Source organism: Homo sapiens, chromosome 11 (genome assembly GCF_000001405.40).
Source record: "Homo sapiens chromosome 11, GRCh38.p14 Primary Assembly".
Classification (NCBI taxonomy): domain Eukaryota; kingdom Metazoa; phylum Chordata; class Mammalia; order Primates; family Hominidae; genus Homo; species Homo sapiens.
The window spans coordinates 36714517-36727208 of NC_000011.10; the positions used below are offsets into that span (position 1 = coordinate 36714517).

The 12692-nt window shown below is 41.4% G+C and overlaps 1 long non-coding RNA gene across 2 annotated transcripts in view, besides 3 other annotated features; it reads left to right on the forward strand.

Moving 5' to 3' along the window:
- Positions 1–12692, forward strand: part of LOC107984326 (uncharacterized) — a 162012-nt gene that overhangs the window by 11592 nt on the left and 137728 nt on the right. Inside the window, exon 4 of one of the 2 annotated variants that reach the window (XR_001748188.1) lies at positions 8324–8988. The exons of the other annotated variant lie outside the window; for it this stretch is intronic. This is a non-coding gene — a long non-coding RNA (uncharacterized LOC107984326). Of the gene's footprint in view, positions 1–8323; positions 8989–12692 lie in introns of those variants that run through there. 2 annotated transcript variants of the gene reach the window in all.
- Positions 10449–10548: an enhancer, noted in NCBI's record as "active region_4635". NCBI's record gives its function as "activates an Ori minimal core promoter by ATAC-STARR-seq in GM12878 lymphoblastoid cells {active_cell/tissue: GM12878}" and the evidence as "EXISTENCE:reporter gene assay evidence [ECO:0000049][PMID:35858748]".
- Positions 10559–10698: an enhancer, noted in NCBI's record as "active region_4636". NCBI's record gives its function as "activates an Ori minimal core promoter by ATAC-STARR-seq in GM12878 lymphoblastoid cells {active_cell/tissue: GM12878}" and the evidence as "EXISTENCE:reporter gene assay evidence [ECO:0000049][PMID:35858748]".
- Positions 10719–10768: an enhancer, noted in NCBI's record as "active region_4637". NCBI's record gives its function as "activates an Ori minimal core promoter by ATAC-STARR-seq in GM12878 lymphoblastoid cells {active_cell/tissue: GM12878}" and the evidence as "EXISTENCE:reporter gene assay evidence [ECO:0000049][PMID:35858748]".

A 12692-nucleotide genomic window follows, 5' to 3' on the forward strand; every position in this document is an offset into this window, starting at 1 on the left:
CTCTCTGGCTTTCCTGCCATCAGTCCTCTGGCCTCCCTCCAAAAGTTTTTTCACATGGCAGTCATGGGCACCTTTATGAAACCCCAAACTGGTCATGTCTTTTTCCTGCCTCAACACGGTTCAATAGCTTTCTATTGCTCTCAAGATCCAAGCCCCACATTCTTTGCCCACACTTACATCCTCACAAAGGCTTGGCATTTGCCCTTTACACACCTTGCAAAGTTTGCCACCTTCCCTCGTATCTTAATAAATCCATTTTTATAGGAAAGCAAATCACTCCAGTTCCCAGCCCAAAGCATGATTAAATGAGATGTTTCTGTAAGAGAAAAAAAGAGACAAATTATTTTGCTTTTCTTTGGGTGATACTTGATTTTTAATTTATTCTTTCAGTACTTGCTGTGATTGCAGCAGTTAATTCCAATTTTTTTTTTCCTGCTGCTTAAATGTCAGCAGCCCATCTTTACTTAGAACTGATAGAAGTAATTGTTTCAGGTACTTGAACTGAATAGTGATTAAGTGGCCTAGGACCAATTTGAGGGTTAGCCTTCCAGTCCTTTCAGAAGCAAATTTTAGAAACATCTGGTTTGGGACTAAAGTTCTATAGATCATCTTGCCTTCAGAGGGCCAGCATCCTTTGAGTTTACTTTCTTTTTTTTTTTTTTTTTTTTTTGAGACTGCGTCTCGCTCTGTCGCCAGGCTGGAGTGCAGTGGCATGATCCCAGCTCACTGCAACCTCCGCCTCCTGGGTTCAAGCGGTTCTCTTGCCAGCCTTCTGAGTAGCTGGGACTACAAGTGCGCACCACCACACCTGGCTAATTTTTTGTATTTTTAGTAGAGACGGGGTTTCACCATATTGGCCAGGCTGGTCTTGGACTCCTGACCTTGAGATCCACCCGCCTCGGGCTCCCAAAGTCCTGGGATTACAGGCATGAGCCACCGTGCCCGGCCGAGTTTACTTTCTTGGTTGTTTTGGGAGGTCAAGTCTTAAACTCTGAGTGACCATTTTGTGCCAATTATTAATAAAAGAAGGAGATGATAGTCTATAGAGTTGTGCTGTCCAATAAGGTAGTCAGTAGCTATATATGGCTATTTAAATTTGTTAAAGTTAAATAAAATTAAAAACGTAGTTTCTCAGTTTGAGTAAGTATATTTCAAAAGCGCAATATGCACATGGCTAGTGGCTACCATATTGGACAGTAAAGATGTAGAATACCATCACAGAAAGTTCTGTTGGATGGCTTCCCTCAGCAGAGATCTTTGCTTGACATATAATATATCTATAGTAACACATATTCATTAAGTTAGTAATCAATCTCTTATTTTCCATAATAGTTGCTGTTATTTGTTTTTAGTAAAATCATAAGAAAGGTAAATCCATGTGGTTTGGAGGGAAGGAAATAGGCCAAATGATAAAACGTGGAAGGTAGTGGAATCTGAAGAGGGAGTCCCTTCTAAGGGTCCTTGGGGTATAGAGTGGAGTAGGCTGGGTTTGGGTGGTTTTGTCCTGTACCATGCTGGCTCCCATGTGGACACAGACAGGATTATCATGTGATTTATGTCTATAGAAAATCCCAATCTAGGGCCCTTTTCACTTTTCCATAGGATTGGGTCAATTATTAATGTGAAAAATGAGCCACCCTCACATGGGGAGTTGGACAACTACATGCAAGTGATGTGCACCTTCCAAAAAATTCCTGCCTTCTGCCACAACACTGCTGCCCATTATCTGAAGCATCTGCTACTTGTAAAGTGCCTGCATAGCTACACTCTCAGTTTGCTGCCACTTGATTTTCTCTTTGTTTGCTTTCTGAGGCTGTAGAAAAGTGGACAATTCTACTTTGGTACCTGGTGTAGGTAGGTGATTTGATTTTATTATAGTTCAGCTGAGTGATTGCCATTGTTCTCCTATATAATAATAATGATAATAATAACAACCAGTGTTTATTAAAGACTGACTCTGTTTCAGCCTTTGTGCTGAAGACTGCATGTTCTTGATCTCATTTAATACTTATAAAAATCTCTGAGGTGGTTTATATAGTGGTTAGGAGTACAGGTCCCCATCCTGGCCCTACCATTTGCTAGTTGTGCCTCTGTCTCCTCGTTAAAGGCAGTTCATGGTACTTTCTTTACTTTTTGTTAGGATTAAATGAATTACATGGAAACTACTTAGAATAGTATTCGCATGTAGGAAACTTTCAATAATTATTCTTACTATTGTTATTCCTTTTTTTTTTTTTTTTCGAGACTGAGTTTCACTCTTGTTGCACAGGCTGGAGTGCAATGGCATGATCTCGGCTCACCGCAACCTCTGCCTCCTAGGTTCAAGCGATTCTCCTGCCTCAGCCTCCCTAGTAGCTGGGATTACAGGCATGCATTACCACGCCCGGGTAATTTTTGTATTTTTTTAATAGAGACGGGGTTTCTCCATGTTTGTCAGGCTGGTCTCAAACTCTCAACCTCAGGTGATCCTCCTGCCTTGGCCTCCCAAAGTGCTGGGATTACAGGTGTGAGCCACTGCACCCAGCCTGTTATTCCTATTTTTACTAGTGTGAAAACGTGGGTTTAAGGAGGCTTAAGGAGGTTGAGTAATGTTTCCAAGGCCATATTTTCATACATGGAGGAGCTAGGGCAGGAACCCTCACCATTCTGATGCCAGTCAGATCCTTAACTCCAACCGACTCCTTCTAAGACATGACTATATCCAGCTATGTCGATGTGTTAACAAGTAAGATAATGTATATGGGAGTGGTTTAGAAATTATGTCAAGGTAGGATTATCATTGTCACCAATAAGAAGGACTATGTTAATTGAATTTTTCTCTGATTTATAACACCAGCAGTTTTTTTTTCCCCCAAAGAAGTAAATTTGCTTTCTCTAGTTCCTTAAAAAGGGAGGTTTTCATGCCTATGACTTTGATCAGAGCTGCTGGAGAGTTTCCAAATTAGACTAAAATAACATATGCAGGGATTAGTCCTGAGGAACAGAAACCTAACCTTCATGGAAGTGAAGGTGCCAATTAGCATTTCAGAATACTAAACATCCTAGGTACTGGTTGGCAATTATTCTCAACAAAGATTTATGGATGTTGATATGTCAGAAACTGAATTGGGTAACAGGTGTATAAAAATAATTTAGACATGGTTCCTACCTTAAGGGGCACAGAATTTGGTGGAGGAGGAGAATATATAAGCAATGTTTTCTAAGTTGTCTGGGGAATTTGTGTTCATAGAAGCAATGACATTTAATCTAGATCTTGATGGATGGTCTGAGAAAAGCAGAAAATTTCTAAATGGAAAGAGAAAGAACAAATCACAGGGACCTACTGAGTTAAGTTATTTCTTGATTAAATAAAGTTGTTTGAGAGGGTTAGAGCTTAGAACACACAGGGACAGGTTTAAAGATAAACTTGGGCAGTTGGAGAAAAACTTGGGCAGTTAGGCTGTGCTGAGAATCATACTAAGAAATTTGGACCCTATTCCAGACACTAGGGAGCTATGGAAGGTTTTAGACGAAAGGGTAACTGTTTAGAAAGATAACTTGGCACCTTTATGGAGGATTAATATGCAGGAGGGTTGAGTCTGGAGGCTGAACAGTTGATTGAATATTCCAGATAGTCCAAGTGAGGTCGGAATGTTGAGGGAGAGGATGGGTTCAAGAGACATTTTAGATAAAAAATTGGCAGTGCTTGGTGACTCAAAATAAAGAGGTAGGATAAAGGAAGAAGTTCAAATCCTGTTATTTAGTGCTTACAATGTGCCCGTGCTGTGCTAAGCACTAGAAATACAAAAATAATTAAGGAATGGCTCCTGTGTTTAAGTAGCTGGAAAGAAATAAAAGTATAATAAATACATACAATATAATATTATGCTTGCAAAGATAGATAATGTGTAAAGAATCAACACACAGGAGGCTGCCAAGAATGATTCTACATTTTCTAGCTCCAGGGACTGGTTGGTTGTTGGTGTCTTTGAATAAGATAGAGAGAGAGAGAGAAAAAAAAAAAAAGGAATAGGAGTAGGTTTCTGGAGGTTTCTAAAGCATTGGTTTTGGTGTACACAAGGCAGTTGGAACTTAAAGATATTCTTGCCGTAGCCAGACACAATCCAGCTCATTCTGGATTTGCAAGAGTTACAGACAAAGGAAAACAGTAATTATCTTTTTAAAAAAACCCTGCTGGCATAATGTTTTTCCTTTTAAATGGCTTTGTTATGAATATAAAGAGAGAGAAAGACTATTAAATGCCTCTTTACCTCCCACAGTCCTGGTTTGGGTTCTAAAAATTCTTCCTACACTAATTATGAGGGTTCTGCCTATTCACCCTGAAAACTTCTGGTTCAGTTATTATTATTATTTTTGTAGAATTAGCACTTAATTCTAAGCTTGTTTTTATTTTGCAGGCAAGAGATATCCTAAGATATTTAGAGGGTCTCATAATCGGCATTGCTTTCTAAAGTTCAGGTAACCTGTACCTTTTCAGCGACCTGTACTTTGTATGGATTAGACAGTAATTTATGGGTAAGTGAAGATTTTTGCAAACGATTTCATAGTCCGCAAAGATTAATAAAAGAGCCATGTACAAATATGTGAACTTAAACAACTATCTGGAAAGCAAGTTTAACAAAAGCCAAAAATGAGTACAGTATCAAAATCAGCTAAGAAATTATTCTGAACTCTGTAAAATTTTTCTTTTGTAAATAGAAAATTTCTTCTAGGGAGGTCAAGGAACTTGGATAATACTGCCCCACTTTCAGCGCTCATTTGGAGCCTCAAATATGTGAGTTCACTAGAGAATAATTATAACCCTGATGTTAGGAATCATGGATGACATATGATTATAGGTTTTCCATATAATAATGAGAGGGAAGCTTTATGCCTCACTGTGTTCAGAAGAAAAGAGATTATAACTTGGAAATGAGCATAAACAGATCTGGGCCATCACTTATATGAGCACAAAGAAGGCATCTGAGGCCAGCTGTATTAGGATGGAATGTTCTCAGCCTTTTGGTTTTCATGGACCCACTGGGAGGTGAGGTTTCGGTGGGGGAAAGTAACCTTTTATTCTGCCAACACAAAACCTCACCATCTACTATCACTGTGCTTTAGGAATGGACAGTTTACCACCCAAGTACAGGAAGGACATTGTGTGGCAGTGATTGCTGCACGTTCAACAGAAGCCACAGCCAGACTACAGTTCCCAGCCTCCCTCGTAGTGAGATGAGCCATCGGGATGTGGCACAAACGAGGTTCATCACTTGCCGTCCCAGCCTATAAAAACCTCCCACACAATTCTCCTCTCTTTAGCTTCCCATCTATAGGACAGACACTAAGCATCCTGCATAGGACCCAAGGGCCTAGTGGTGACCGAATCACAGGGAGCCCAAGTACCCAAACGACCCTTCCACCAAATGGGTGGAAGGCCACCTGTTGACCCAGAATATTCTTACTGGATTACAAGTGAGTAATGCAGAGTTGACTCACACCTCTGAGGAGGGGACATTGAACAGCAGTGCTGATATCTCTGGGAGCTCCATGATGCTTATTCTGGGATTAGGGAAAAAACTGGAAACTGGAACCAACTGCTTTTAGAACCAGGGACTGTCACCAGGTAAAGAAGTAGTGCCCAAGTGACATTTACAGGTATAGCAAAACAAAACAACCTCCCCCGGAACCATTAACAAGCAACAAACCAAAACTAAAAACCAGCCCAGGAAGCAGCATGTCCCTTATCTCTCCTCCATTCTTGCAGTCTCCTTCCAGAACCTGCTACTGGCAGAACCTTCAGGAAGAAGTTGGCAAAGTCGAATATGCTTTGCAGAATTCCAGACCCACTGTCACAAAACTGAATATAGAAAAATGGCTTTCCAGTAAAGAGGCAATAACTTAATTACCAGCATAAGAAGACATATACTTTCATTGTGTTAAACCACTAAGATATTTGGTATTCGTTACAGCAGCTAATAAAAACAGATATTTAAATGGGATACATTTAGTTTTATGAAAACTCACTATAGTTTCCTTGTTCTTTTTTCTTATTTCATTAAGGAATTGGTGAAAATTCACCTCCTGGCACTGTTCATGGGGAGGGGTGTGGAAACTATTGGTGTAGATAGCTCCACTCTCTTTTCCAAGTGTGTGTGTGTATTCTCAGATGTTCATAGAATCCTGTGTGTGGGTGAGTGTATAAAAGGAAGAAAAAAATGTGTTTGGGGGCAGGAGCCAGGGGAGATTGGAAGATGAAGCAGATGAGAGAAACTTTGGATTCAAGAGCTGCTTTGGGGCCCAGGTGACACGATGTGGCATATAGATGGGAAAGAGTTTATATTCTCTATACATATTTTTTCCCTGTTTTTTAGAAATAGGGTCTTGCCATGTTTCCCAGGCTAGAGTGCAGTGGTTCAGTCACAGCTCACTGCAACCTCCAACTCCTCGGCTCAAACAATCCTGCCTCAGCCTCCTGAGTAGCTGGGACTACGGGAGTGCCCCACCACACCTGGCTAATTTTGTATTTGTCTCACTATGTTTCCCAGGCTAGTCTCAAACTCCTGGGCTTAAGTGATCCTCTCACCTCAGTCTCCCAAAGTGTTGGGATTACAGGCATGAGCCACCATGCCCAGCCTCTATACTTCTTTTTCTTCTTTTTAAAAATTAATTTTGTTGCTCAAGGTATTCCAGAAACAGCCATTGTATTTGGCTCCATGCCCCTTTGACACAATGCCTCCATCATTGTGGGTCTTCTTCTTCTTCTTTTTTCTTTTTTAGTACTTTTTAAATTTCTGACATTCTAACATGTTCCAGGCTCACTTGTGTATTTTCTGCCCTGTTCCTAGCATTTCTACATTTCTTTATGGGCCTTGATAATTCTGGCCGCCCAAGAACTGAGGGCTTTGAATGCATTCCAAGAAGGCACGTGAGCTGGCCTTCCTGGCCTCAGCTCTTCCCCTTATCCCCCTTCTCTCACTGCTCTCACTGTACTGGTATCCTAGCTATTCCTGGACAGGCTTACTCCTACCCCAGGACCTTTGCACTTGCTACTCCCTCAGCCTAGGATGCTCTGTTCTCAGATTCCACTAGCTCATTGCTCACTTCCTTTGGGTCTCTGTTCAAATGTCACTTTATTAGCAAGGCCTTCTTTTGTCACTCTGCATCATCCCCCATCCCCTGCCTACCCACGCTCATTCTGGACTCGAATTACCATCTGAACACATGATATACAATATTTTTTTTCTTGATTATGATCTGTATCCCAATGATAGAAGATACGTTTTATGAGAATAGGTTTTTTTTTGTCTGTTTTGTTTACTTCTATATTCCTGGTACCTAGGAGAGCTCCTGGTCCACAATAGACACTTATTACATATTTGTTGAATTATTATAATATTGTTTTTGCTGATTCCTGACATAGACATGCCACTCATATCCTATGACCTTTCTTTATAACGTATCTCCTATTTTGTCAGTCCCGTGTTTAAAACTCTTCAGATGTTTTCTCTTTGCTGTCAAAATAAATTCCAGACTCCTTCATATGGCCTGCAAGGCCTTCTCAATCTGTCCCTGTCAAGACTCCAGCCACACCTCTTGTCACTCATCTCTTTCCACTCTACTCTCCTGCCACATTGAAATACTTGCAGTATCCAGTGGATGCATGGTCCCTTTTACTCTCTGGGTTTTGTGCATGGCCTCTCCTCCTTTGAAGATACTTTCCACCCCTTTTATCCTTTATGGTTCAACTTTAGACATCATCTCTTCTGGGAAGACATTTTGCCCTCAAGACAGGGTTAGTCCAATAGTACTAGATATTTACCTCCATCATAGCACCTACCATGGTATATTTTGATGGCCTAGTTTATTGCAATTTAGAACAAGTCTGCCTTAGTCTGCCCAGGCTGTCATAATAAAATACCCTAGACTGAGTGGCTTTAACAAGAGAAATTTATTTTCTCACAGTTCTGGAGGCTGGAAGTCTGAAATAAGGGGCCAGCATGGTCAGGTGCTGGTGAGGGCTCTCTTCCTGGCTTGTGACCTCATATGACCATTCCTCAGTATACATGTGTGGAGAAAGAAAGACTGCAAGCTCTTCTTCTTCTTACAAGGCCACCAATCCTATCAGATAAGGACCCTATCCTTATGACCCCACCCTTATGACCTCAACCTTATTTCCTTCCTAAAAGCCCTATTTCTCAACGCAGTCGCATTGCAGTTTAGGGCTTCAATATATGACATTCAGGGACAGAATTCAGTCCATAGCAGAAATCCTACTGTGAATTTTATTAGTTAAAACATTACACACCCATCAAACTAAGACTCACATAACTATTTCCAACAGAAGACGTGTAAGAATGAAATGGGAAAGAAAGAAGGACGAAGCTGAGCTATGAGAAACCCAGCAGGGAATGAGGACGTTGTGGCTGGCGTATCTGCTACTGAAATGCTGGAATCTTACAGGAACTTTCTACCAAGGTCACACTGAGTGAGGATAATGCTCCGTGTGTGAAGACTGTGTCCCTCTTTGGCATGTTTCAGACAGTGTCTGATGTTGGAAAGATGAATCTAGGAAAATGGTGTTGTAGGATGCCTTCAATTAAAAAACAAATGAACAAGACCAGGGTCAGTCAGCACTGGAGATCTGTAAGGAGGGGCAAGCTCCCTCTTGCAGAAACTGGAGCCAGGTGGGGTTCAGGACTGTGTAACAAACCTTGTACTAAGGATGTTTGGCAGAGTAACAGGGAATAATTTGGGGTTCTCATACTAAGTCCTTTGTTTCAGGGGTACTGGAATGGTAATGGGAAATCTGAGGAGCAGCTCAGTCAGGAAGGGCCCAGGGAATACTGCATGTCTGGGTGATGGGCACACCCCGAGAATTCAGCAGTGCAGAGCCTCCCATGGCTTCATAGGAGCCTTGCTAGGAGTGGATCACTGGATCCCAGGATTGGAAACTTTCTTAACCCCTGTGATTATTCCTCTAGTCCCACGAGCCTTTTTCCTCACAGTTATGCCCTCCTGGAGTTTCCAGAGTAACCTACAAAATACAAAGAAAAAGCCATTTCATTGTAACTGGTAACTTTATGTTATTATCAGGATGTCAAGGGCCTCCAGGGGAGAGAGGAGTATAAAGTTTTAAGCTTTGGACCCAGGTTTATAGAGATCACAGAAGTCTCTTCTCCCCAGGAGGAACCCTCTCCTCTATTAGGAGGGGAGACTTCTGATGTTAAAACTTATGACAGCCAAGGCAAGTAGTGCCTCCAGACTCCTACTGCCCCAGGCTTTTTACAGTCAAGACCTTCATCAGGCTTCTGAATATCCAAATTGCCTACCTTTTACATACCAGAGGGGAACAGGGAGGATTACCAGGATGTCTTAACAGAGTTATCTGTATGAACAGAAAGAATAGAGCATTTATTTGCAGATTTATAGAGCAATGAAATAATTCTGCTTTATAACTACCAAATCCCAGGCCATGGGAAGGATGTGGATAAGATTTCAGAATGGTTTCAAAATCACTTTATGATTTAAATGGTTCCTACTCTGTGGTTTCTACTTCTCTGATGTACTTTTCAGCCCTCACATCCAAGGTGCCGATACACCATGAACAACTTGCACTATTTTGCAGACAGTGGGATGACAGAGAGAGGAGTCCAAGGTGACATTTGGGCTCATATTCTTTAAGCTCAATTTTTTACCTGGAAAATGAGTATAATAAGATGCTGCTTTCTGTAGGGTTGTTAGTGAAACAATGCATGTAAACTGCTATGTAGTAAGCATCTAATAAACAGGAGTTGTTATTATCACATTCACATCTCCCATACTAGAGTATCCATGCCACAGGAGGACAAGAGATGACCTTATTCACCTCCAGATGATCACATAGTCTGTAGCACATAACAATTGGTTGGTGATTGCTCAATGAATAAGGAAATGGACTGAACTACTCTTTTCAATGCTATCAAAAGTTTTTAAATCCTAGTAATAATATAATTGTTTTAACTTGTATGTGCACCAGTCACCTGACATGCCAGTTAAAATGCAGAATCCTGGGTCCCATCCCTAGAGATTTTGATTCAGTAGGTCTGAAGTAGAGCTCAGCAATATGAATGCAAGAGAAGTTCCTCAGATATTTCTGATAGAGGAGGGTCTTGGTCTAAACTTTGAGAAATACTTTTAGGTTCACTGGTTTACAAGTTGAATTGTGCATGGGAAAAGTGATTTCTGTATATCAGTTGGGGTTCAGGGAGGACAAAAGAGCCACAGTAAGTATTGTGGGAATAAGGGATTGACCATAGAAATTTGAACTTACGCAACATGGTTGGGAAGAACTGGGGAAGGGAAAGTCTGGAAAGGACAGTAGGAGAGCCAAACAGTCACTAAACATGATTAATAGGAGACCTGGTACAGGTGGGTAGGTCACAGTGTGCAGGAAACCCCCATATCCTGTGTGTGTGTCTGACTGCTGGTGTGGAACTGCAAAGAAGGTTGACAGAGAAGTCTGGAGAGCCTGTGCCCCTGAAGTTTGCCTTGGGGCTGCTTTTGTTTAGTGGGGCCACTTTTGTTTGGTGGGGCCAGCGTTAGAAAGAAGAGATGGAAACTGGACCCCAGTAGCTGCATTCGTATCTGTCTGTCACCACGTCTGCCCACTGTGACTTTCTGAGAATAATGACTTCTTCATTTCTTCTGCAAGTTCCTCTTTTGGGTAACTCCAACTCAGATCCACATAGGACAGAAGCTTCTGGACCATGTAATTTCCAGCTTTCATCAAGTGGACATAGCACACTCTGACACATCTTAATGCACTAAAAATTACACGTTTGACACCCTCTCCATCCTGCTGCTTTTGGTCTCTGAGTGCTGGGTGTTCACTCTTCTTGAGTTTTTGTGTATTTCAAGAGCACTTTTGAGAGAATTCCAATGTTTTTATGAGTAAGAAGTTTGTAACTTTTTGCAAACCCAAGTTTATTTGGCATGTTGGGAAAACACGCACAGTGAGCTGCATCCTTGAGCCAGCCTGTCATCAGTAAATAAAAGACAATAGATATATATGTGACATGAGTGGAATAAGTTTAGAATCATATTATTAGGGAAATTGGCATTTTAGTATTCAGCCTATTACAAACAGAGAGATACAGGCATATCCTTAAGATGGGCATCCCTGGGCAGCTTCAAAGATGATCTTTGTGAATGAACAGCTCTGGAGATGGTGGGATCCTGTCTGCCAAGTAAAAGTGGAAGATGACTGTAGTAGGTTGACTAATGGCCTGTGTATTAATTCATTTTCATACTGTTATGAAGAAATACCAGAGACTGTATTTTATAAGTAAAAAGAGGTTTTAATGGACTCACAGTTCCACATGTCTGGGGAGGCCTCACAATCATGGTGGAAGGCAAAGTAGGAGCAAAGGCGCGTCTTACATGGTGGCAGACAAGACAGCATGTGCAGGGGAACTGCCCTTTATAAAACCATCAGATCTTATGAGTCTTATTCACTATCATGAGACTTATTCATTATTATGAGAATTATTGTCCATCATGAGAACAGCATGGGAAAGACCCACCGGGTCCCTCCCATGACACATGGGAATTGTGGGAACTATAGTTCAAGATGAGATTTGAGTGGGGACATAGCCAAACCATATCAGCCCCCTAAGTATCAGGTCCTAATCCTTGGAACCTATAAATGTTGCAAATGAAATGTGTTATAAAATTTTATAATTTTTAATAATTGTAAAATATGTTACAAATGGTAAAAGAGTCTTTGCAGATAGGATAAAGTTAAGGAGGCTGATGTGGGGATATTATTGTGGATTACTGGGTGGGCTAAATGCCAACATAAGTGTCATTATAAAAGAGACAGAAGATTAGGCACAGAGACAGAGGGAGGGAGGAGGTGACCACAGAGGCAGAGGTTGGAATGATTTGCTGGGGCCAGCCTCTATAAGGGGCATTGCCTTGCTGACACCCTGATTTCAGCCCAGTGGTACTGATTTTGTACTTCCAGCCTCCAGAACTGTGTGAGAGTAAATTTCTGTTGTTTTAAGCCACGAAGTATTTGGTAATTTGTTACAGCAGCCACCGAAAACTAATGTAATATACTTTTTATTTATTTATTTATTTATTTATTTATTTATTTATTTGGTCATCTGCTTCCCCACCTCCCCTTTGGAGTAGAACTCTCTGCTTGCTGCAACAGAAGGGCTGGTAGTGGTTGGGGCAGAGGGAGACTCCCTGAGCTGTAGCAGGGGGCAGCTGGCTTTCTGGCACTTTCCAGTCCTGGGGGAACTTTGAACATCTTTCCTTTGTAGAAGCAAGTGTTACTGGCAGAGCTCCACCTATATTGAAAATACCTTTTTTGTTCCAGATTGAGCCCAGTGTCTTCAAGCCCTCCAATCCTGGGATCACTGTTTCTTTTGCAGACGTATAAAATAATTTGAGTCCTAGTCATCCGTAATTATGGGACTTGATGCCCTCTGACATTCTGAGGAGTGGTTCCTTATCTTGGTTGTTTCTTATCTACTCTAGAAGTTAGTCTAGATGTCTCTGTTAGTCTCCTTGGGCATCTAGTATCAGGTTCTGTGGCTGCTGTCTTCTCCTGTGCTTCTAGGTAAGAACCATAGCCCTCTCTTCATCCCCAAGGCATGTGATGGAGAATTAGGCGGGGTTCTGTGCTGCTTGAGGATTTGTTCTCTGTCTCCTGGGACGTTGTG